General features: G+C 33.6%; 1 pseudogene, besides 1 other annotated feature; it reads left to right on the top strand.

Moving 5' to 3' along the window:
• Positions 1-25,490, top strand: part of LOC105378800 (endogenous retrovirus group K member 21 Gag polyprotein-like) — a 213,368-nt pseudogene that overhangs the window by 41,750 nt on the left and 146,128 nt on the right.
• Positions 2,221-2,722: an enhancer, noted in NCBI's record as "H3K4me1 hESC enhancer chr1:73763727-73764228 (GRCh37/hg19 assembly coordinates)". NCBI's record gives its function as "activates a minimal SCP1, AML or CMV promoter by ChIP-STARR-seq in naive H9 embryonic stem cells {active_cell/tissue: H9 hESC(naive)}" and the evidence as "EXISTENCE:reporter gene assay evidence [ECO:0000049][PMID:30033119]".

Here is a 25,490-nt window from a genome sequence, read left to right as displayed (position 1 = left end):
CTTTATTCCCTCATACTCTTTCTAAAATGCCGTTACCTCTATGAAAATCAAGTTGAATTCAGTTCATGCTGGACTCTTTCCAACCACACTAATATATTACTGATTACAATCTGTCCTTAGCACTTTAGTGTTCAGCTTTATCTTTGACACTTTCTCACTGGAGTACTTTTCTATTCTCTGTCCCCATCCTCACATCACTCATCTGGCTAACTAGCTATATATGAACTAGAGTTGACCCTTGAACTACATGGGGGTTGGGGTGTTGACCCCCACACAGTTAAAAATCCGTGTATAACTTTAACTTCTCAAATCTTAACTATTAATAACCTACTTTTACCAGAAGCCTTGCCAATAACATATACGGTTGATTAACACATTTTATATATGGTATATGTATTATATACTGTATTCGTACAAGAAAGTACGAAAGAGAAAATAAAATGTTATTAAGAAAATCATAAGGAAGAGAAAATTTATTTATCCTTTATTAAGTGGAAGTGAATTATCATAAAGGTCTTCAACTTCATCATGTCATCTTCATATTGAGTAGGTTGAGGAGGTAGAGGAAGGGCAGGGCTGGTCTTGCTTTCTCAGGGGTGGCAGAGGTGAAATAAAATGTCCTTATAAGTGGACTTGCACAGCTAAATCCTGTGTTGTTCAAGAGTCAACTGTTTATCTAAGGTCATGACTTTGAAGCTAGTCTTTGATAAAGCTCTGCGTGTCTCCCCACTCACCCAGGATGGGCTAGGTGACTTCTTGTATTTCCACTAAAGTGAATATTTGTCCCAATTGCTATTGTTTGAATGTATGTGTCCCTCCAAAATTTGTATATTGCATCTTATACCCCAAGTTAATGGCATGAAGAGGGACCTTGTGGGAAGTGATTAAGTCATTAGGTTTCCACCATTATGAATTGGATTTATGCCCTTATAAATGAGGCTTCCAGAGAACTGCTTCACCCTTCCATTTCTTCTGCCACATAAGGACACAACATTTGTCCCTACTTTGTGTCTTTTTTTTGCCATTTGAGGAGGAATAGAAGATGCCATCACCAGACACCAATTCTTCTGGTGCTGTAACTCCAGTCTCCAGAACTGTGAGAAATAAATTTCTATTATTTACCAATTACCAAGCCTAAGGTATTATCTGCAGCAGCAAATGGACTAAGGCACCTTTTGTTGCATTAATTTCACAATATTGCAATTTTCCCATTTCTTTACTATTTCCACTACTAGACGGTGAACTCGATGTCACAAAGGATTTATTATTCTGAGAAACTAGCATAGAGCTTGTTGATTACTGAATAGCTCTTAAACAAGCATAGATTTGTAGCTAGTCATAAATGAAATAATGATTAGAACACTGAGAGCATAAAAAATATTTACTGAATGAATAAATATATAATGACTATAAATTAGTACCACAATAGACTATCAACCTCTTCTAACATTTACCAAAATTCCATTATTAGATGGAAATAAAATCATCTAATTGAACCAAAGATACTTTCAGATATACCTGTGAAAGCCCTTAAAAATTAAAAGTATAGTAAAATTTTGCTGAAAATAATGTTAAATGGCAAAGCATGCTGCTGTATTGGGGATGGGAAGATTTTAAGTAGTTTTATTCAGGAAAGGAGAATCATGTTGTATTTGCTCCAAGAAGAAGGTGCTTTTTTTTTTCTTTTCTTTTCTTTTCTTTTTTTATTTTTTTGAGATGGAATCTCACTTTGTTGCCCAGGCTGGAGTGCAGTGGCACGATCTCGGCTCACTGCAACCTCTGCCTCCCAGGTTCAAGTGATTCTCCTCCCTCAACCTCCTGAGTAGCTGGGATTATAGGCGCCCGCTACCATATCCGGCTAATTTTTATATTTTTAGTAGAGACGGGGTTTCGCCATATAGGCCAGGGTGGTCTCCAGCTCCTTACCTCAAGTGATCTGCCCGTCTCGGCCTCCCAAAGTGCTGGGATTACAGGAGTGAGCCACTGTGTCTGGCCAGAAGATGCTTTTAACTCAGAATTAATTACGAAATGACTCTTCTCGGCCGGGCGCGGTGGCTCACGCCTGTAATCCCAGCACTTTGGGAGGCCGAGGCGAGCGGATCACGAGGTCAGGAGATCGAGACCATCCTGGCTAACACGGTGAAACCCCGTCTCTACTAAAAATACAAAAAAAAAAATTAGGCGGGCGTGGTGGCGGGCGCCTGTAGTCCCACTTACTCAGGAGGCTGAGGCAGGAGAATGGCGTGAACCCGGGAGACGGAGCTTGCAGTGAGCCTAGATCGCGCCACTGCACTCCAGCCTGGGCGACAGAGCGAGACTCAGTCTCAAAAAAAAAAAAAGAAAAAAAAGAAAAAAGAAAAGAAATGACTCTTCTCCTTACATCACTTCAGAATGTTGACCCTCCCTACTTAACAATTATTGTGAACTACTGTGTTCCAAGCACTGTTTGATTTCTAGATTTGGTGGGGAACAGAGAAAAAATATGGCTTTAGGTAAATGATATGGTTTGGCTCTGTGCCCTTACCCAAATCTCATCTTTAATTATACTCCCATAATTCCCACGTGTTGTGGGAGGGACGCAGTGGGAGATCATTTGAATCATGGGGGCGGTTTCCCCCATACTGTTCTCCTGGCAGTGAATAAGTCTCACGAGATCTGATGGTTTTATCAGGGGTTTTCGCTTTTGCATCGTCCTCATTTTCTCTTGCTGCTGCCATATAAGAAGTGCCTTTTGCCTCCTGCTATGATTCTGAGGCCTCCCCAGCCATGTGGAACTCTAAGTCCGATTAAACCTCTTTTTTCCCCAAGTCTCAAGTATGACTTTATCAGCAGCGTGAACACGGACTAATAGAGTAAAGCAAGAGGTTCACTGATGAATTATCACTAAGCAAAGAAAAAGAAGCCTTTCTTAGCGAGTTAAGGGCAGGGAGCCAGTATTTTGCAGCATACTGAATGGAGGTATCCACTTCAAAAGATAAGTAATAATAATAAAGCTTATGTAAAAATAAAAAAAATTAGAGAAGAAAGTACAAGAATGTTTTACTATACTATATGGTCCCTAATATTACAGAGTGGATTCAATAAAAATGTAGAGCACGCATGTTCAAGATGTAAAGATTAGCACTATATGGGAGAGAAAAACAGGGATTGAATGAAACATTCCCCTTGCAAAGAGTTTTCATTATTGGAAAGAAGTTGATTTCAAATATTTTCAATTATAAACACATTCATTCACATGTGCAAGAGTTTCCAGGTATGCTTAAATTAATGGTCTTTGTATACCGAAGTGTGCATAGTTCTCATTATATAGTATGTACTACCTTTTAAAAATTATTTTGTAAAGAAAATTGTAATGCCCTTGATAGAGCTTGGTAGATAAAACCAAGTTTATTTCTGCTTGGATATACTATGATATTTGAAATACACATAAAACCACACACACATACATGGACTCACACACACATACACATACACATTATATATATAATATATATATTAAAGTATTTTAAATATTATTAAGGATATTTTTATTTATGAGGAATATGGAATAGATCTGTAGTTTTCTTGTTGAGTCTTATTTTCATGGTGTATATTGGCTTCTAAAAGTGACTTGGAGACTGTTTTCTTTTCATATAATGACTGACATACTTGTACTGTATTTTCTGCCTCTAAAACACCCTGGTATTTATCATATGAGCTGATTCTGAGCCATAATTTCACTAACCCGTTCTGCTGCTAGAATGGAATGTCCAATATTTATGTACAGAAAGTTCATGTTTAATTGAAGTAGAGTCATATAAAAGCATTATGACAAATTCTCACATAAAGATTCTTGAAAAAGAAGAAAAAATATAGATTATTAAAACACTTAAAAATAAGATATTGTATTTAAGACACCAACACACATCTTTGAAGAATCTCCAACCAGCAATTTAGGTCATTTAGCATGAGTTTATTGCCATACCATTTCTTGAACTTAAAACGTCAAATTTCTAAGTAAATTCATACACCATTATTATTCAGGTGTGAACTGTTCTACTATATATTCTAAGGTGCCCTGTACATTTTAAAGTTCTATAAAATAGAAATCTATACTTAACCAGTTTGTATATACTATTTTATATAATTCATAGTCATCGCTGCCAACAGGTTATTAGCTCCGTGAATATAAGTGTGAGAAATTAAGGTGGTTCACTTTTATGACTTAAATAATTAACAGTGAAGAATACTCCCAACCCAATGTCTTATTTACGTTTTTATGAAAACAAACTTTAAGAGAAAGTCTTGAGTACTGGTCTTGGGAGGTGACACCAGGAGGAACAAGTGAGGCAATGAGAAATATGAAAGAAGGAAGGGGAAAAGCCAATAAAATGTGCATTCATGATTGGATTGTTCTGTCTTATATTGCCTCAAAATTGTCCCACCAGAATACGGTGAATCCGGGTTATTCACATATTGTCCTTCAGGAGCTGAGGATTACTTTGGAGTCATTAATTCCATCTTAAGTTTGTTTTTTTCAAGGAAGCTGCAATGTTTCTGGAAAAAGTCCTTAAAGGAGTAGTGGGAAAGTGTAAGCATGAAAGCTACACTGGCTGCAGGCAAACTCAGAGGTAGAAATGAATGTGATCTTCCACATTTTGTGCAAATCCTGGGTGTTTCAATAGGTGAATGACGTGAAAATATATGATGCATATCAAATCCAAATCAACACAATAGCTTTCAAATTGCATTAAAGGCAAATCCAAATTCCTGCAGATTAACTATCTTGAATCACTATTTTCAACCAATATCACATTGATTTGTGATAGCCTTTCTCAATATTATTAAGCACTTCATAAGTATTACTTAGTTCAACTAAGTGGTTATGCTGTAGTCCCTAAGTAAACTAGTTCAGGACAGAATATTTAAATGTATTTAATAAAGAAGCACAAGTTATTATGTGCAGACTAATCAGTAAAAGTTGTGATTAACATTGAAGAACTCTTATATCAGTTTGCTCTTGACAAGATTTTGTTTATCCTATTTTAGTGAAAAATAAGTTGACTTTTCAAAAGGTAATGTAGTTTAGCAGAAAACACTCAACAGGTACTCAAGAATCGGATTTATCTTCCAGATTCTAAAGTAGAGGCACAGCTTATAAATCACAAATGGCTATGATGATGGGGTTGGGAGCAAGTGGGATTATTTTTCCTCCCCATGAAATGAAAAAAAAAATGTTGAATTAGAAAAACTTAGGTTTGTTTCCAACTCTCTTATCCCATGTTTATGAATGAATGTTTGCAAAATAATACATTCCTCTGTTTCTGCAAATGAGTAGATATCTTCTTCCTTTCTTATCTCATACTATCATTGTGAACTTTAACGAGAAGTTCTGGATCTGAAGCAAATTTCCAGTGGTACAACAAACTGTGCTTGGTAGATATTGTTGAAGTACGTAAAAAAAGATACCTAAACAATTATATTGCTTCTTTATGACTTGTTTTTGTTAAAATAATAATTTAAAATACACTTTATTTCTGATATATTTTTCCTTGACTAAATTAGAGTTAGAAGTAAGTAGTTTACTAGTTAAGATTCCAACAGAATCCCACTATGTTACATAGACAAAAGCATATACAAATTTAGTTTTTAGAAAGATGGAAAGTGAAATTTGATTAACAATAAAATAACTTTTAGCATCATTTTAGTAAATCAGTACTTAGTTTTGTTGTTGATTGCATAAAAAAGATTCACACAGTAGGATATAATTTTGAAAGTGTTAAAATTTGCATTCATTAGAGTTGCAGTGGCTAATCAAGAAATTTCCAATTAAACACCACTTCAGCTACATTTTCATCAACTATGAGAACTGTCTACATAGTTAATGATAAAATTTCAGACTGCACCAAACTATTCTTGATCTGCTCTGGTCTGAATATTTCTGTCTTATAATTTTGTTATCTATCTTTGAGGGTAGGATCTGTGCCTTTTGTATTTTTGAATAATTGTTATATCTTCACATATAAACAAGAAACTGCAGAAAATATATATTTTTTGTTTCAAAGAAATTTATGGTATAAATTTCCTTATATTTGACAAGCAAATTGTGTTGATTGGAATGACTGTTAAAGGTGTTCTACCCAAATTTTCATTTTTTTCTAAGAAACTTGAGACCTGGAATGGTGAAATTATTTTTCAAGAAAGAAGAAAGGAGAGCTGAACTAGAACCTAGCTCTCCTCAGTATCATTCAATTATCAGTTTATTGCAACACATTTCAGTTGCAGTCATTAGTCAATAAATACATTTTGCCTACATTCTCCTAAGTACCAAAGTAGATACCAATAAATTGTGTTAAAGATAAATTACAATGAGTCTGTATAAAGAAGTGATAATTCTGCCTTATTCTGCTCAGTATTAATCTACTCATGTTCCAACTATTAGCCCATTTGCTTTGGAATTTTTGTTAATGAGCTATCAATTTCTTATTCCTATATCTTAAATTGGTACATACTTAAAATTTAGAAATGTACACTTAGTCTATATCAGATTTAATGACAAAATTGTGAAGTAGGAAAATATTTTGTTCAACTAGTGCTTTATGAAAAGCTCTGTGTCACCCTTAAGGTGAGACTTCCAGATGGCTAGGAACCTGCAATGCTTATTTATCCATGGGTCAGGGATGTCTAAGCCATTATATTCTATATGAGGAACATTAAGTATTATGACCATGGTCATGGACTCCACAATATGAGGGCCTCATCCTAGCCTTGACTGTCTCACTTGGTAAATACGGACTTCGATCAAATTATCTTTTCTGTCTGTGCCTCGCTTTTCTCTCTGGGCTTCAATTTCCTTATATAGTTACTGTAAGCAGTAAGTTAGCTAATTTTTGCAAAGATGATACTGCGTACTAAACATCATTTGGTAAGTAATCCACAAAAATAAACTTTTCAAACCTGATATATGGATTAAGACTGCTTTCCGATTTTTAATTGCAATAATATGAATCCAAAAGTGTGTCAAAACATTTAACTTTTATAAGCTACCTTTAAGTATTTTATTGTTAGATTAAGTTGGCTTCCCATTCTCCGATTATGGGTTGTATTCACTGTTTATTAGAGCACAATACTATAATATAAAGTTTCCCACTACTATAACGGTGGAGTAAGAACTTCTGAAAACTAGCTTTTTAATAAAAACTATGAGATCATGGTGAGAGCTGTCATTATCAACTTTTTCAGAACTTGTTAATTTCAACCAGCCAAAATGATTGAATTAAAGAAAACTGACTGAATCCTGATAAGAACAGTGAGTCTTTAGCTTTTTAATTTGCCCTAATCCTATCCTTTTCTGATCACTCCATCATAGTCTTGAAAATCAAGAATTTCACAAGTACGGTACCTATTAAAACTAGTACCTTAGTAGCATCTGGAGGGGGTAGATGGATTTAGAGCTCTCCAGGACCCCCATTATTAGAGAATTATCATTTTCTAACTTTGCAGCTTGTTGAAGAGCTCTATTCTTAGAGCTTGTTATTATTTTATCTAACTTTGAGTTAACTTTGTTCAAATAGCCTTATCCTCAGGGAATTTGTCAAAACCAAGAAACAAGAAGTATTTAATATGAAAACTGTCTGTGACAATATTACCAGTTAATTGAAGAAGACATTGGCCAGAAAAAAGTTTGGAAATGGCTGTACCTGGGAAATTTTTATAGACTCAACAAATTCCTGGGAACATAAAAGGCCGTGAACATTTGAAATGTTGTGTACAAGCCAAGAAAATACCTGAGAAGGCCTTAATTTCTCAATTCTGGTTGACCTTAAGGTATTGCTCAAGTGGGAAATAGAGGCTAAAACAGAGTAATAAACTGCCTTTCAGAGCACAGAGACTTGTCTCAACATACACACAGAATCACTCAGCTGGCTAAAATACATACTGGCCTAAGATATTTAACAGAAATTTTTGTCCAATAATTTAATGATTACTAGGCTAATTAAGCAAAGGCATCAAGTGCTTGCACATGAAAAACAATATAGATATTACAGAATTAGCCCAACAAATTCACTGAGCAACAAACACACATGATAATGAAAACCACTATACTCAACCACAAGAAGAAACCCTGTGAGAAAATTTGATTTAAAATGTTATCCATTAGATTATTAAAATGGCAACTTTTAAAACAACAACAAAAAGTTAAACAAAAAATAGAAAAGTGTGTCCTGTACACATGGTAGAAAGCAGTTGATGGAATTATCCCCAAGGAAGCCCAAATGTTGAATGAACCAAACAAAGAATTTAAAATATCCTTAAAACAGCAACCAGGCAAAATGATTATAACAATGATTTCTCACTCAATAGAGAATATGAATACAGGAATAGAATTATAAAAAAATATTGTTCAGTTCCCACCTATGAGTGAGAATATGCAGTGTTTGGTTTTTTGTTCTTGCGATAGTTTACTGAGAATGATGATTTCCAATTTTATCCATGTCCCTACAAAGGACATGAACTCATCATTTTTTATGGCTACATAGTATTCCATGGTGTATATGTGCCACATTTTCTTAATCCAGTCTATCATTGTTGGACATTTGGGTTGGTTCCAAGTCTTTGCTATTGTGAATAGTGCCACAATAAACATACGTGTGCATGTGTCTTTATAGCAGCATGATTTATAGTCCTTTGGGTATATACCCAGTAATGGGATGGCCTGGTCAAATGGTATTTCTAGTTCTAGATCCCTGAGGAATCGCCGCACTGACTTCCACAATGGTTGAACTAGTTTACAGTCCCACCAACAGTGTAAAAGTGTTCCTATTTCTCCACATCCTCTCCAGCACCTGTTGTTTCCTGACTTTTTAATGATTGCCATTCTAACTGGTGTGAGATGGTATCTCATTGTGGTTTTGATTTGCATTTCTCTGATGGCCAGTGATGGTGAGCATTTTTTCATGTGTTTTTTGGCTGCATAAATGTCTACCCTTGAGAAATGTCTGTTCATGTCCTTCGCCCACTTTTTGATGGGGTTGTTTGTTTTTTTCTTGTAAATTTGTTTGAGTTCATTGTAGATTCTGGATATTAGCCCTTTGTCAGATGAGTAGGTTGCAAAAATTTTCTCCCATTTTGTAGGTTGCCTGTTCACTCTGATGGTAGTTTCTTTTGCTGTGCAGAAGCTCTTTAGTTTAATTAGATCCCATTTGTCAATTTTGACTTATGTTGCCATTGCTTTTGGTGTTTTAGACATGAAGTCCTTGCCCATGCCTATGTCCTGAATGGTAATGCCTAGGTTTTCTTCTAGGGTTTTTATGGTTTTAGGTCTAATGTTTTAAGTCTTTAAGGGGAACATCACACTCTGGGGACTGTTGTGGGGTGGGGGGAGGGGGAAGGGATAGCATTGGGAGATATACCTAATGCTAGATAACGAGTTAGTGGGTGCATCGCACCAGCATGGCACATGTATACATATGTAACTAACCTGCACATTGTGCACATGTACCCTAAAACTTAAAGTATAATAATAAAAAATAAAAAATAAATAAAAAATAAAAAATAGGCAAACATAAATTCTAGAGGTGAAAAGTTCAGTAATTGAAATGAAAAATTTCCTAGAATGTCTCAACAGAAAAATAACAGAAAAGTTTGAAGTTAGTTGAGGTTGGTTCATGAGGTTTAAGGAAAGAAGCCATCTCCTTAAGATAAAAGTGTAAGATGAAACAGCAAGTGCCTATCTTGGTGTTGCAGCAAGTTATCCACATCTACCTAAGATAACTGATGAAGGTGACTGCACTAAACAACAGATTTTTCAATATAGTAATACATGAAGCAGCATTATATTGGAAAAATATGTCATCTAAGACTTTCATAACTAGAGAGAGGAAGTCAATATTTGGTTCAAAGTTTAAAATGATAAGCTGGCTGTCTTGGTAGGGGCTAATGCAGCTTCTGACTTTAAGTTAAAACCAATGCTCATTTACAATTCCAAAAATTACTGGGCTCTTAAAAATTATGTTAAATCTACAATGCCTGTGCTCTATACATGGAACAACAAAGTCTGGGTGACAGCATATCTGTTTACATCATAGGGTTTACTGAATATTTTAAGCCCACGATTGTGACCTACTGCTCAGAAAAAAAAAAAAATGACTTATTTTAAAGTATTACTGCTCATTGACAATGCATCTGGTTACCCAAGAGCACTGGTGAAAATGTACAAATTGTTTAGTATTTTCATGCCTTCTAACACAACATCCGTTTTGCAGTCAATGGATCAAGAATTAATTTAGACTTTCAAGTCTTATTATTTAAGAAAAATAGGTTGAAAGATGGTAGCTGCCATAGATTATAATTCATCTGATCAATCTGAGAAAAGCACATTGAAAATTCTCTAGAAAGGATTTACATTGTAAATGCTGGACACAGTGGCTCATGCCTGCGTCCCAAAGTAATCCCAACACTTTGGGAGGCCGTGGCAGGCGGATCACGAGGTCAGGAGTTTGAGACCAGCCTGGCCAATATGATGAAACTCTGTCTCTACTAAAAATACAAAAATTAAACTAAACTAAAAATAAAAATACAAAAATTAGCCAGGCGTGGTGGACCTGTAGTCCCAGCTACTTGGGAGGCTGAGGCAGAATAATTGCTTGAACTGGGGAGGCAGAGGTTGCAGTGAACCGAGATTGCGCCACTGCATTCCACCCTGGGTGACAGAGCAAGACTCTGTAAAAAAAATAAAAAATAAAAACATTTGAGATTCATGAAAGGAGATCAAAATATGAACATTCAAATGAGTTTGGAAGAAGCTGATTCCAGTCCACATAAATGACTTTGAAGGGTTCAGCACTTCAGCAGAGGATGTAACTGCAGATATGAAAAAAACAGCAATATAACTTGACTTAAAAAGTGGAGTCTGAAGGTGTTCCTGCACTGCTACAATTTTGTGACAAAACTTGAACAGATGCAAAATTGCTTCTTAGGGATAAGCAAGCAAAGTAGTTTCTTTATTTGATGTAAAACTTAAGTAGTACATTCAAGAAGCTTAATAAACTCAAAGTAGTATAAACTTAGAGATCAACACCTAGACACAATCAGAGTCAAGTTGTGGAAATTCAGTGACACAGAGTGAATCATAAAAGATTCAATAAAAAGTATCAGGGCATGCTCGTAAGATTAGCAGCTAACTTCTTGTCAGAAACCGTGGAGACCAGAAGGCTGTGGAATTAGCCCAAGTACTGAAACAAAACAAAACAAAACAAAACAACTATGAAGCACTGGTTCTATATCTATTGTAACTATCCTTTAAAACAAAAAATAAATCAAGAATACATTGATAAACAAAAGCTATGAAATCTTATAAGTTGTAGAATTGGCCTAGAAGAAATATTAAAGGGATTCCTGAGGCTCAATTGAAAAGACCCTAAACAATAACTCAATTCACATAGAGAAGAAAATTACATGAGTAAATGTAACTAAACTGTTAATAAAAATGTGTTTTCTTTATAATTTTTTCTACTTTTATCTGATATAAGAGACAATGGCACCAAGCAATAATTATATAACTGTTGATGCTCACAAAAATGTATAAAAATTTAGTTTACATGGCAATAACAGAACAAAAGGACCTGGAAGGAATGTAGTTGACATGGAGCAAAATTATTAGGTAGTATTTAAAATTAGTTGATATTAATCAGAACTATATTGTTTTAAGTTAAAATATTATTCACAATCCCCAGGACAACCACTAAGAAAATAGAACAAAAGAGAAAAATATATCAAATGAAACAATAATGAAATTAATTAAAGAGTGAATTATGAAGTAAAAATACTTCCTATAAAAAAATTCCAGGCCTAGATGGCTTTTTTGGTGAATTCTAATACTTTTAACAAAAAAAATGCCAATCATTACATAAACTTTTAGAATATAAAAGAGGTGCGAACTTTTAAAAATTTGTTGTATGAGGCTAGTGTTACATTTCCCTGATACCAAACTTAAGAAACACATCACAGAAAGAGAAAGATGTATGCCAAGTTTATTAATATTATGCAAAAATCCTTATCTAAATACGATCAAACTGAATTCACACAATGCAAAATGGATTATAGGCTAAGATCAAGTAGAATATACCTGAGAAAGGCAAGCATTATTTAACATTAAAAAACAATTAATGTAATACAAAATATTAAATAAATTTTAAAAAACCTGGCATGATTATCTCAGTAGATTTAGAAAAAGCATTTTAAAAATCCAGTATGCTTTTATGATAAAAGCATTCAACAAACCAGGAATAGGTGAAAACTTGTTCAACCTAATAAAGGCAAAGCTTATTGACTAGTATACTTATTGGTGAAATACTCAAAGCTTACCAAAAGATCAGTAATAAAACTTTATGTTAACATTTTACTGGAGGTTCTATTCAGGGAAATGAGGCATAAAAATGAAATAATAGGCACACAGATTAGAAAAAATATAAAACCATATTTATTTCCAGATGGTATGATCCTTTATATGAAAAATCTGAAGTAATCCACTAAAGTACTTACTATTAAACAAGGGCCGGGCGCGGTGGCTCACGCCTGTAATCCCAGCACTTTGGGAGGCCAAGGCGGGCGGATCACGAGGTCAAGAGATCGAGACCATCCCGGCTAAAACGGTGAAACCCCGTCTCTACTAAAAATACAAAAAAATTAGCCGGGCGTAGTGGCGGGCGCCTGTAGTCCCAGCTACTTGGGAGGCTGAGGCAGGAGAATGGCGTGAACCCGGGAGGCGGAGCTTGCAGTGAGCCGAGATCCCGCCACTGCACTCCAGCCTGGGTGACAGAGCGAGACTCCGTCTCAAAAAAAAAAAAAAAAAAAAAAAAAAAAACAAGTTCAGCAAGTTTAAAGGGCATAGGATCAATATACAAAAATCTGTTGGAAGGTTTTGCATATAAGAAGCTTGAAATTTGCTACTCTTATCCCAACAAGTAAGAGACTGAACAGACTGAAAAATCGACTTCTTTTTGGATCCGTAAGAGAGGGACAGACAAAAGGCAAACTGCTGTCCCCATGACTGAAGAAAAAGACAGGCAAACAAATGGAGTCATGGCCAACCAGAGTAGAGAATCACAAGCAGAAACAACCACAGGAACTAGTGCCAGGGTAGGAAAACCTAAATTGTAATTAAGAAATTGTTGGATGATCTTTGGATAATCTGAGTATTAAAAATTTAAAGAGAACCAGTCATAGTGAGGCTACTACACTTTTGTGAATTCTACCTCCAGAATAACAACCAGGTTCTCAGAGTAAATATTGGACAAAAAACCCGGTTGTTTCTGGCAGCAGGGATGGGTTTGGTGGAGGTTTCATTGTGAAACATGCTAGATCATTCTGTTCTTCTTAATAAGACCTAGCATGAGCCACCGTGCCTGGCCAGCAATAACCTTTTATGTGGTAGAAGAAATACCCAACTTCAGTCCACTCTAGCCCCCTACTTGGCAAAGAGGAAATATCCAACTCTAGTCCACACTAACCACTCTGCTGCACCTAAGAAGGAAAACCCAGAAGTACATGTGAAGTTCATTGTCAAGAGGCATAGGCTCCCTAAAAGACGGGGACCTAATAATAGGATCCCCTCATTGCACACCTTACCATCACATTACTAGAGGTCTGTTAGCGGCAATTCCTTTTACACATTATATTATATTCAGCTAGCAGGAAAAAAATGCAAGGCATACTAAAAGAAAAAAAACATACAATTTGAAGAGACAGAGCAAGCATCAGAACAAGACATGGTAGAAATGTTGACATCAGATTGAGAATTTAAAATCACTGTAATTAATATGCTAAGGGCTCTAGGGATGAAATAGACAGCATACAAAAACAGGTAGAAAATATAAGTAGAGACATGAAAATCTTAAGAAAGGACCACACAGAAATGCTAGAGATCAAAAACACTATAAGAGGAATAAAGAATGTCTTTGATGACCATATTAGTAAATGGGACAAAACTAAGAAATGAATCTACAAAACTGAGGATACTTTAATAGAAAATTGAGGGTAATTTACACATAATAAGAGTACTTGAAGGGGGCGTAAGGGACAAAATAGAAGAAATATTTGAAACAATAATGGCTGAGAATATATCCAAATTATTAGCCATCAACAAAGATCCAGGAAACTCAGAAAACATCAAGCAGGATACATAAACCAAAACAAAACATACAAACAAACAAAAAATTTTACATCTAGATATGGCATTTTCAAGATAAAAAATAATCTAAAAGAAGCCAGAGTGGAAAAAAAAAAAACAACCCACCTTATCTATAATGGAACGAAGATAAGAATTATATATGACTTTTCTTCAGAAACCATGCAAGGCAGAAGAGAATGGAGTGAAAAACTTAAAAGTATTGAAAGAAAACCCCACTAACTTAGAATTCTGTATCTTCTGCATTTATTCTTTAAAAATGAAAGAAAAATAATTTCTCAGACAAAGATCGAGGAAATTTGTTGCCACTATACCTGCCTTGCTAGTAATGTGAGTAGAAGTTATTTTGAGATATGGAAAATAATATAGGTCAGAAACTCTGATCTACATAAAGAAAGGAAGAGCATCAAAGGAGAAACAAGTAAAGTGAAACTGAAAACTTTTATTTTTCTTATTTTTAAGTAATCTAACAGATAACAGATTAAAATAATAGCAAAAGTGTGTTTGATTATGTATGCATATGTACGCATCATTTATATATCATATACATTGTTCATATGCTCACATAAGTGAAATAAATGACAGTAATAATAAAAGGGTAGAGAAGGGAGAAATTAGGATGATTTTGTTATAAAATATTCACACTACCTTTGAAGCAATGTAGAGTAACTTAAAGTATACTTGAGTGAGTTTTAAATGTATATGGCAAACTCTAGGGCAACCACTAAAAATAAATTTAAAAAGCAAAACCGATATACTAAAAAAGGAGAGAAAATAGAATCATATCAAATGCTCAATTAAAACCATATAATGCAGAAAAAATATGGAAGATAAAAATAGGAATCAAAAACAAGGGCGACAAATAGAAAAACAATGATATAATGCACCTATTAAAAGATAGAAATTGTTAAAGTGGATCAAAAAATAAGACCTAGCTGTATGTTTTCTACAAAACCCACTTTAAATATAATACAATACTTTTTAAAAATTTATTTTTTATTTTTATTTTTACTTTATTTTACTTTAAGTTTCAGGATGCAAGTGCAAAATGTGTAGGTTTGTTACATAGGTATACATTTGCCATAATGGTTTGCTGCACCTATCAACCTGTAATCTAGGTTTTAAGCCCCGCATACATTACTTATTTGTCCTAATTATTTTTCTCCTCTCACCTCTGAACCCCTGTCTGGCCCCAGTGTGTGTTGTTCCCCTCCCTGTGTCTATGTGTTCTCATTGTTCAACTCCCACTTATGACTGAGAACATGCAGTGTTTGGTTTTCTGTTCCTGTGTTAGTTTGCTGAGAATGATGACTTCCAGCTTCATCCGTTTTGCTGCAAAGGAAATGATCTCATTCCTTGTGGTGGCTTCATAGTATTCCATGGTGTATATGTACCACATTTTTTTTATCCAGTCTGTCATTGATGGGCACCTGTGTTGGTTCCATGTCATTGCTTTTGTAAATAGTGCTGCAATAAACATACGTGTGCATGTGTCTTTATAGCAGAATGATATATATTCCTCTGGGTATATACCCAGTAAGGGGAATGCTGTGTCAAATGGCATTTCTGGTACTAGATCTTTGAGGAATCATCACACTGTCTTCTGCAATGGTTGAACTAATTTACATCCCCACCAACAGTGTAAAAGTGTTCCTAATTCTCCACAGCCTCACCGGCATCTGTTATTTCTTGACCCATTAATAATGCCCATTCCGACTGGTGTGAGATGGTATCTCATTGTGATTTTGATTTGCATTTTTCTAATGATCAGTGATGTTAAGCTTTTCTTTATATGTTTGTTGGACGTGTAAGCATCTTCTTTTAAAAAGTGTCTGTTCATATCCTTTGCCCACTTTTTCATAGGGTCTTTTTTTTCTTGTAGATTTGTTTAAGTTCCTTGCAGATTCTGGATATTAGGTCTTTGTCACATGGGTAGATTGCAAAACTTTTTTCCCATTCTGTAGGTTGCCTGTTCACTCTGATCATAGTTTATTTTGCTGTGCAGAAGCTCTTTAGTTTAATTAGATCCCATTTATCAATTTTGGGTTTTGTTGCAATTGCTTTTGGTGTTTTAGTCATGAAGTCTTTGCCCATGCCTATGTCCTGAATTGTATTGCCTAGGTTTTCTTCTAAGGTTTTTATGGTTTTGGGTTTTACATTTATGTCTTTAATCATCTATCTTGAGTTAATTTTTGTATAAAGTGTAGGGAAGGGTTCCACTTGCAGTTTTCTGCATATGGCTAGCTGGTTTTCCTAGCACCATTTATTCAATAGGGAATCTTTTTCCATTGCTTGTTTCTGTCAAGTTTGTCAAATTTTAGATGGTTGTAGATGTGTGGTGTTAATAAAGGCACTATTCCTAATGGCAAAAACCGCACTTTCTTTTGGACCAACCTAATAGATTAAAAGAAAAGGGATAGAAAATTTTACCATAATAACAACAATAAAAAAATCAAGAGTAGCTATATTAATTTTAGACAAAGCAGGCATCAAATCAAGGGAAGTTACTGTGGTTAAAAAAGATATTATATTTTAATAAAGAAGCCAATTATTTAGAAAGACTTAACAATCCTTAATGTGTATACACCTAACAAAAGAATACCAAATTATGACAGGCAAAATCTCTTAGAAACATAAGAAGAAATGTATGAATCCTTTACTGTAGTTGGAAACTTTAACAGCCTATCAAAAATAGACAGTTTCAGTAGGCAGAAAATTAGTAAGGATATACAACACCATCAATCATTTAGTTATAATTGACTATAAACTATTTCATCTAACAACAGCACAATACACTTTTAAACTCAAGTAGAAGATTCACCCAAGAAAGGCTATATTCTGTGCCATAAAACACACTGTAACAAATTTAAAAGCATAGAAATCCTACAAAGTCTTCTATCAGACCACAGTGGAATTAAACTAGAAGTCAATAACAGAAGGAAAATTGCAAAATTCCAAAATAAATGGTGATTAAAGAACACACTTCTAAATAATACACGGGTCAAAAAAAAATCTCAAGAGAAATTTGAAAAAATATTGGTATCTAAATAAAAATGAAAACGCAGCTTATCAAAATTTGTGGGATGTAGAAAAACATAACTCACAGGGAACTTTATATCACTGGATGTATATATTAGAAAAGACTAAAGATCTAAAATAAATAACTTAAATTTCTACCATAGAAATCTAGGAAAAAGAAAAACAAGATCAATCCAAAGAAAAAGAAAATAAATTTTAAAAATTAGAGAAGAAATTAATGAAATCAAAACAGGAGATAAAAGTTAACAAAACTCAAACCTGTTTTTTTTTTTTTGAAAAGATCAATAAAATTGATAAACCTCTAGCCAGGCTACCAAAAAACAAACAAACAAAAACAAAAGAGAGAGAAAGAGCTGGAGGTAAGAGGATGCACAAATTACAAATATCAGAAATTAAATAGAGAATATCACTATGATTCCATGTCAGGTCCCTTTAATGGTTAGAAAAGATACACGATGAACATCTCTATAGCCACAAAGTTGATAACCTAGATAAAATGAACTGATTGCTTGCAAGACACAACCAGTCAAAACTCACATAATAAGAAATAGACAATCTGAACATGCCTTTACCTATTTATGAACTATGATACACAAAAAAGAAAGCATCAGGCTCAGATCCATTCACTGGTGAATTGTACCAAACACTTAAGGAAGAAAGTATACCAATTCTCTAAAATATTTTTCAAAAGATGGAAGCAGAGAGAATAATTTCTAACTCATTATGAGGACAAAAATATTATAATACCAAAGCCAGAAAAATATCTTATAAGAAAAAAAAAACTACAGACCTGTATCACTCATTTAAATAGATGCAAAAATCCTCAACAAAATACTAGCAAACCAAATCCAACAATACATAAAAAGAATTATACACTGAAACCAAGAAAAATTTATTCTATATATGAAAATATCATTCAACAATTGAATATCAACTAATGCAATTTATCATATCAACAGGCTGAAAAAAAATCACATGGTCACATTGAGATGCACAAACAAAACAAAACAAGCAGAAAACCCCACACATTTTACATGATCCCAAATGTGTACATGATAAAAAACAAAACAAAACAAAAAATAACTAAAAAACAAAACCTCTCAGCAAACCAGGAATGAGAAATAGCAAATATTTCTCAACTTGGTAAAATAATATCTAGCTACAAAAAAACATGCAACTAACATTGTACATAATTATGAAGAACTAGAAGCTTTTTCACTAAAATCATAAACAGGGCAAGAATGTCTCCTCTCCATGTTTTTAAACGTTGTACTGGTAGTTCTATCTAATGCAATAAGACAAGAAAAAGAAATAAAATTTGTACATTGGAAAAAAAAGAAATAAAACTCTGCATGCAGTGTCATGATAGTCTATGTAGAAAATATGAAAGAAACAACAATAAGAAAAAGATCTCCTGAAACTAGTAAGCAATTATAGCAGAATACAAGGTTGCAGAATACAAGGCAAATATGTTAAAGTCAAGTGCTTTCCTATGTATTAGCAATAAACAAGTAAAATCTGACATTGAAAATACAATGCTATTTAAATTTTCACCTCAAAAATGAAATACTTACATATAAATTTAACAAAATATGTGCAAGATCTATATTAGGAAAATTATAGAAATCTGATAAAAAATTAAAGAACTAAACAAATGGAGAAAGATTCCATTTTTATTGATAGGAAAATTTGATATTGTAAAGATATGTTCTTCTACAACTGATCTATGGGTTTAATGCAATTGCAATAAAAATCTAGTTACATTGTGGACATCAACAAACTGATTCTAATGTTTACAGAGAGAGGCAAAAGTTCCAGAAGAGCCAACACAATATTGAAGAAGAAAAACAAAACTGGAAGACTGACATTGCCCAACTTAAAGAATCACTATAAAGCTAGAGTAATCAAGACATCTGGCTGAAAGAAATACAAAACGATCAATAGAGTAGAGTGGAGGGCCCAGAAATATATCCCATAATATAGTCAACTAATCTTTTTATAAAGGAGCAAAGGCAATACAATGAAGTAAATGGTCTTTTTTTCAAATTGTTCTAGAACAACTATGCATTCTCATGAAAAAGAAGCTGGAAACAGACTTATACCATTCAAAAAATAAGCTCAAAATGGATTATAGATCTAAATATACAACACAAAACTATAAAACTTCTGGAAGATAACAGGGGACAATGTAGATGAGCTAGATTAGGTATGGCAATGACTTTTTACAACATCAAAGACACTATGAAAGAAATAATTGACAATCTGGACATCATTAATATTAAAAGTTTCTGCCTGTAAAAGACAATGTTATGGGAATAAAAAGCAAAGTACAGACAATGGGAAAATATTTGCAAAAGATATTTCTAAAAAAAGACTGTTATCTAAAATACACAACTCTTAAAACTTAACAATAAGAAAGCAATCTGATAAGAAATTTTTAATTGCCAGGGGTTGGGGAAAAGAAACGATATATAGGCAGAGTACAGAGGATTTTTAAGGCAACTAAAATACTTTATGTGATACTATAACAATAACTACATGTCATTATACATTTGTGCAAACTCACATAATGTACAATGCCAAGAAGGAACTCTCAAGTAAATTATGAATTTTGGGTGGTTATGATGTGTAATTGTGGGTTTATCCATTGTTACAACTCAATCACTCTGTTGGGCGGTGATATTGATCATAGTGGAAGCTATGCATATGTGGAGGGTAAGGGATATATAGAAAATATCTGTAACTTCCTCAATTTTGCTGTACTCTTAAAATTGCTGCAATCTTAAAAAATAGTCTTAAAATATCTATTGTATTTCTGTCCAATAACAGTAAACAATCTAAAAATAAAATTTATAAAACTATTATATTACAAAAGCTTAAATAAAAATAAAATATTTAAAAATATAAGGAACAAAAGTACAAAATGTGTGCAAGGAAAACTCAAAACATCATTAATTAAATTAGAGAAGATATAAATAATATTTTTAAAAACATTCTATGTTCATGGTCTAGAAAGCTTGTTAAAAGTGCAGTACTCCCACAAATCATCTACAGAGCCAACCCAATACCTATCTGCATGCTAAAGTACCAGGTGCATTTTTTTGAGAAATGGTCAAATTGGTTCTAATATTCACATAGAAATGCAAAGTTCATGTTTTGGAGTACTCTTTTCGGGGTTAATTCTGATTAGTAATTTTTTAAAACATTTGTGTACTTGAATATTTACATATTTTTCTAGATTTGAAAAGTTATCTGCTATTATTTTCTTAAATAAGCTTTCTATGCATTTATCTGTCTCTTTAACTTCATAAATCAAATATCTATTTTTTGTTGCTGTCTCATAAATCCCATAAGCTTTCTCCATTATTGTGTATTCTTTTTTCTCTTCAGACTGTCCATTTTAAAATAACTTTTATTCAAGTTCACACAGGTTTTCTTATGCTTGATCAGTTCTATTAATGCTTTCTATTGCATTTTTCATTTTGTTAATTGTGTTTTCTGCTCAGGATTCATATTCTATTGTTTTTTAAATATTTCAATCTGTTAAATTTTCTTTTCTGGTCATTTATTGTTTTTCAAACTTTATTAAATTGTTTCTCTGTATTTTCTTAAATTTCACTGAACTTCCATAAAATAGTTATTTTGAAATTTTGTCAGACAGTTCATGCATCTCCATTTCTTTAGGGTTGTTACTGGCATTTTATTTTATTTCTTCGGTTATGTCATGTTTTTAGATTGTTTTTGATCCTCATGGTTGTGCATCTATGTCTGCACATTTAAGGAAGTCGGTATTTATTCCAGTCTTTGCAGACTGGCTTTGTCTTTGCAGATTTTAGGCAGACCATTTGAAGTGGTTTTGATGCCTGAGGCCACTGTATTTTCTGTGGTGCTAGGGCACGCCCAAAACCTGGAGGCTAGCATGGCACTGGGACAGGCTGGAAACTTGGGGTCATTGAGGCCTGTCAGCCACTGAGGGATGTTTTGAACACAGAGCTACTGAGTGTGAACCAGAGATGGAGTCTGCTTCACAAGCATGAAACCTGGGGCAACAGCATCTGGCTTAGTGCTAGCTAGTCTGAGGGCTCAATTGATGGATACTGGCCTGGAGTTTGAGGTTATTGGGGCCTATTCAATTCTGAGTTTTATTGTTGTATGCTCAGTTTGGGATCTCAAAGCAAAGTCCTGTATGCACTTACCTCTCTCCTTCAAGTGGATTGTATTTCTGTCTGGGTTGTGCTGCCTGGGGTTGGGGAAAGGATAACAGTGGGTATTGTAAAACCCTCCTTCCTATCTTCTTCAATGCTTCTTTTCTCATTATTTTGCCTCAACCAGTTCTAGTATCACTCACCTAGTATTTATAGCTCTTGTTTAGGCATGTTTGTGGATAGTAGTTCAAATTGAGATTTCTGTGAGGGGACAATTCCTGGGAATCCTATTCTATCTTGCTCCACTTTTCTCTCAGAATAGAATATGTATTCAGGAATCATTATAATATACACAATATTTAGAGCCAAAAAAAAACTGGCTAAAGCACTAAGAAATAAGATTAGACAAGGAAAATAAACAGGCATGAGTACTGAGTCCTGGGGCATTTTAGTATTTAGAGATTATTTAACAACAGAAAGGCCACCAAATAGAGACTTACAAAAGAGCCAGTGAGATAGAAATAAAATATTTTAAAAATATTTTCTCTGAGGCAAATAAAGAGAGGGGACAAATTTGGGTCAAATAAAATCAGTGTAGTGTAGGATACAAGTAGAAGAAAGAGGGCTAATGAGTATAGTAAAAGTAGAAATAAACAAGGGAGTTGAGAGTGTGTGCAAGAGGTTGATACAAATCCTCTATCACACACTCTTCTTTTAGTTACCTGGGGATGAGTAAGAAAAAGCAGTGATGAGAAAGGTCTTCTAGAGTATTAACTGTATCAACTATAAACTATGGAAGAGAACATGGAAGGCACTTCAGATTAATTGTAATTATTTTTCAGTAAACATGATCTAACAAAACAAAGTGGGCATATAAAAATTTCCTTCAAATGTTCCAATAGTGTCTAAGATCTCATTAGAAAAAATGTAGCTTATTTCTTCTTCAAGCTTCTCAACTAGATATTCACCTGCTGTCACAAGGTTTAAATCATAGGCGTGTCAAACAGAAGAGCAGACTGAACTGTCTCTTCCATATTTAATAATAGCAATGAGATAATGTTTTTGTGCTGTGAGGAACTAGTGGTCAGAGAAAGAGAACCCAAACTACTGATGTTCAAGACCACCAAGGGCAGCTCCAGGTGGACAACAATGATGTCAAAGCACAGTGTTTGGGATACCTTCATTATACCAACAGTGTTTGGAGGAAGTATCAGTACACAGTTCTGGCTGATGATAACAAGGGAACAATACCTATTAAAAAGTTACAGAAAAGGATATGACAATCTCACCTGGCTTAACATATTATTATACAGGTGTTTTTTTCTATAATTTATGTAACTCTCAAAAATGCATCTGTATGAAGCCATTTCCATCCACCACTATAATATATTATTTTGTCTAATAAGTGACAATTATTTTAATAAATTCTTAAATGAAATCGAACATCCAGTAGATGTAATCTCTTGTTCTTGTTTCCTCAAGTGTTCATAATTTTGCTTTATTCTCACAGCTTATCTCAAACCTTTGATAATCCTCCTTAGTATTTGTTCATATATTTTAGCAATAAAACTTCATTTATATTTCTAAAGATGAATAGTATTATTAACCAAGAATTATTTCTTGGGAGGCCAAGGAGGGTGGATTCCTTGAGGTCAGGAGTTCAAGACCAGCCTGACCAACATGGTGAAACCCTGTCTCTACTAAAACTACAAAAATTAGCTGGGCATGGTGGTGGGTGCCTCTAATCCCAGTTACTCCGGAGGCTGAGGCTGGAGAATTGCTTGGACCCACGAGGCAGAGGTTGCAGTGAGCCAACATCATGCCATTGCACTCCAGCCTGGGCGACAAAGCCAGACTCCGTCTCAAAAAAACAAGAAAGAATTATTTCTTGTTTACTGTCATTTGTTTGAAAAGTTATATATAAATGAGAACTATTTGCTGAAATCTATCTAGTTTTATAGGTGAAAACAAATTTTTTCTACTTTTACGTCAATATAAAAGTAGACAAAAATGTTCCTTCTCTGTTTCTGCTTTGCATTAATTAGGCTGGGTTCTGCCTCTTTAAGATTAGGGTAAAACCCAAGCAAGAAAAAGCAAGTATACATTTTGAACTATCATAAACTATTAAAAACTGTAATTCATGTAAAAATTATAAATACTAGAGGCCAAACTATTATATAAAAACAAAGTTAACACATATAGTTTATAACATGATTTTTGGAAGGTAAATTTGGAGAATGTTACCAACATCTGTTTCTCTTCAGTTCAAGCTGATTGCATTAAATTAATTTAGGAAATAAAAAGTTTCCTGAGCTCATGATTTCACTAAATATCATTTCCTTAATATCTGTATGCTTAAATTATATTTCTTTAGAACTCAACAGAGAGGACATATTTTCCATTATGAGTGCATGTGTTCTTCAGTGCTATATAGAATTTCTTCAGTTGAAATGTTTATTCATTCTCTATAACCCAGCTAATGCATACATTTTATGCATCAAATTCTGTGATTTGATTTATAAACTGATAGTTTGTTTTATACATGGAGTACAAAATTTGTAATATAAATATCATTATAAAGCATATTTAACCAAGTACATGTCATTGTTACAAATTATAAATTGATATTCATTTTTAATAAAATGATTGTTTCAAAAAGGGTCATCTTTTAATTAATGTAATATTAAAATTAAATATACAGTAAAATAATTGTTATTGTTAATAATTCTAATTTAATATTTGGCCTACTTTTTCTAAAATGAAATACTTTTTGTTTTGCACTAAAGACTTTATTGTAATTATCATTACAAGTGGATACGAATACTCTGTAAGTCCATTCTCCTTTATTATACATATTGACACTATAGGTCAGCTGTAGATCTCTTACAAATATGTTCTTTTATGGTCAAAGGGAGGTTGAGGTTTCTAAATTAAGTTGCAGTTGAGAAATCACAAATAAAACCAGGCTGTCTCCACCCACCTTTCAAAAATTATAGACAGAAAGTGACAGGTAGAAGATGCTTCAGGTCTTAGAATTCCACAGAGACAGGCAAGCCTGTCTCCCTAAAGATTTGTAGTGCAGCGACATTCAGTCACAGTGAAACATATACTGACATTGAAATGTGCTAAAGGATATTATGAAAAATAGCCCTGATGATTGCCAATATTGCAGTGTATTTGAAGAATGACTGGAGATCAACAAACAGAATAATTCACGCTCAGGATGTCACTTTAAATCTAAGTCTATTCTTAATACCAAACTCTTACTATACCAAGAGTTTAACACCTTTAGTTCATCTATATATAAAAAAATACTCACTCATATCATTGGCAAATTTTATCTTCTGATTAAGAACTTCTTGATTTCCAGTTCAGACAATTCTGAAGAATAAGAACGTTGAGTGATTGCCTTGACCTCATCCTACACAACCAGTCAAAAGTTGATGAATGACTCTTAGTCTATTAATCATGCAAAGGGAACAACATGAGGTATTATTTTCTCTTGAGTACAAAATTAGGAGTGCTGTCAAAAGCACTGACACAGCCAACAATTACTGCAGTGTTTTCCAGTTATTCCATTAATAATATAATGTTAATTAGAATGCCCCCAAAAATAAATTTGTGACTTTCAAGAGAGTCTAGATATATTATTCCAGCCATTATTTATAACAAATCATTGAACAACAAACTTAAAAATAAGCAAGTCAAGCTTAGGTCAACTTTACCTTCTGGGGCTAAGTAAAATAATTTACCTCATGTAATATTCTATATTTGTAACATGCAAATTTACATATGGAAATTACTACAAGATGTTTTGTAGTGTAGTTGCTAATCTTTGGCCCCATGAAATTCTTCCTTTATCAAAAAGTATATTGTTATTTACCTGCCTGCTACAAGAAGATAACCAACAAATCCAATTAGAAAATAAATTAAAATATTGTCGATATTTAAATTAAATATCCTATTATTTATGTCAAAATTTTTAAATAGACAAGGTAAATTTATGTTACAATGTACTTATCTTGTCAATAACTAGGGTCATAGAAACATAAAGTAATGTTCCTGATATTAAATAAATAATTAAAATTTTGAGCTACCTCATTTCATAATTGAAAAAATGATTGAATCACACTGTCAAA

This window comes from Homo sapiens, chromosome 1, assembly GCF_000001405.40.
Source record: "Homo sapiens chromosome 1, GRCh38.p14 Primary Assembly".
In the NCBI taxonomy this organism is placed as follows: Eukaryota; Metazoa; Chordata; class Mammalia; order Primates; family Hominidae; genus Homo; species Homo sapiens.
This window is presented reverse-complemented; position numbering and strand designations above follow the sequence as displayed.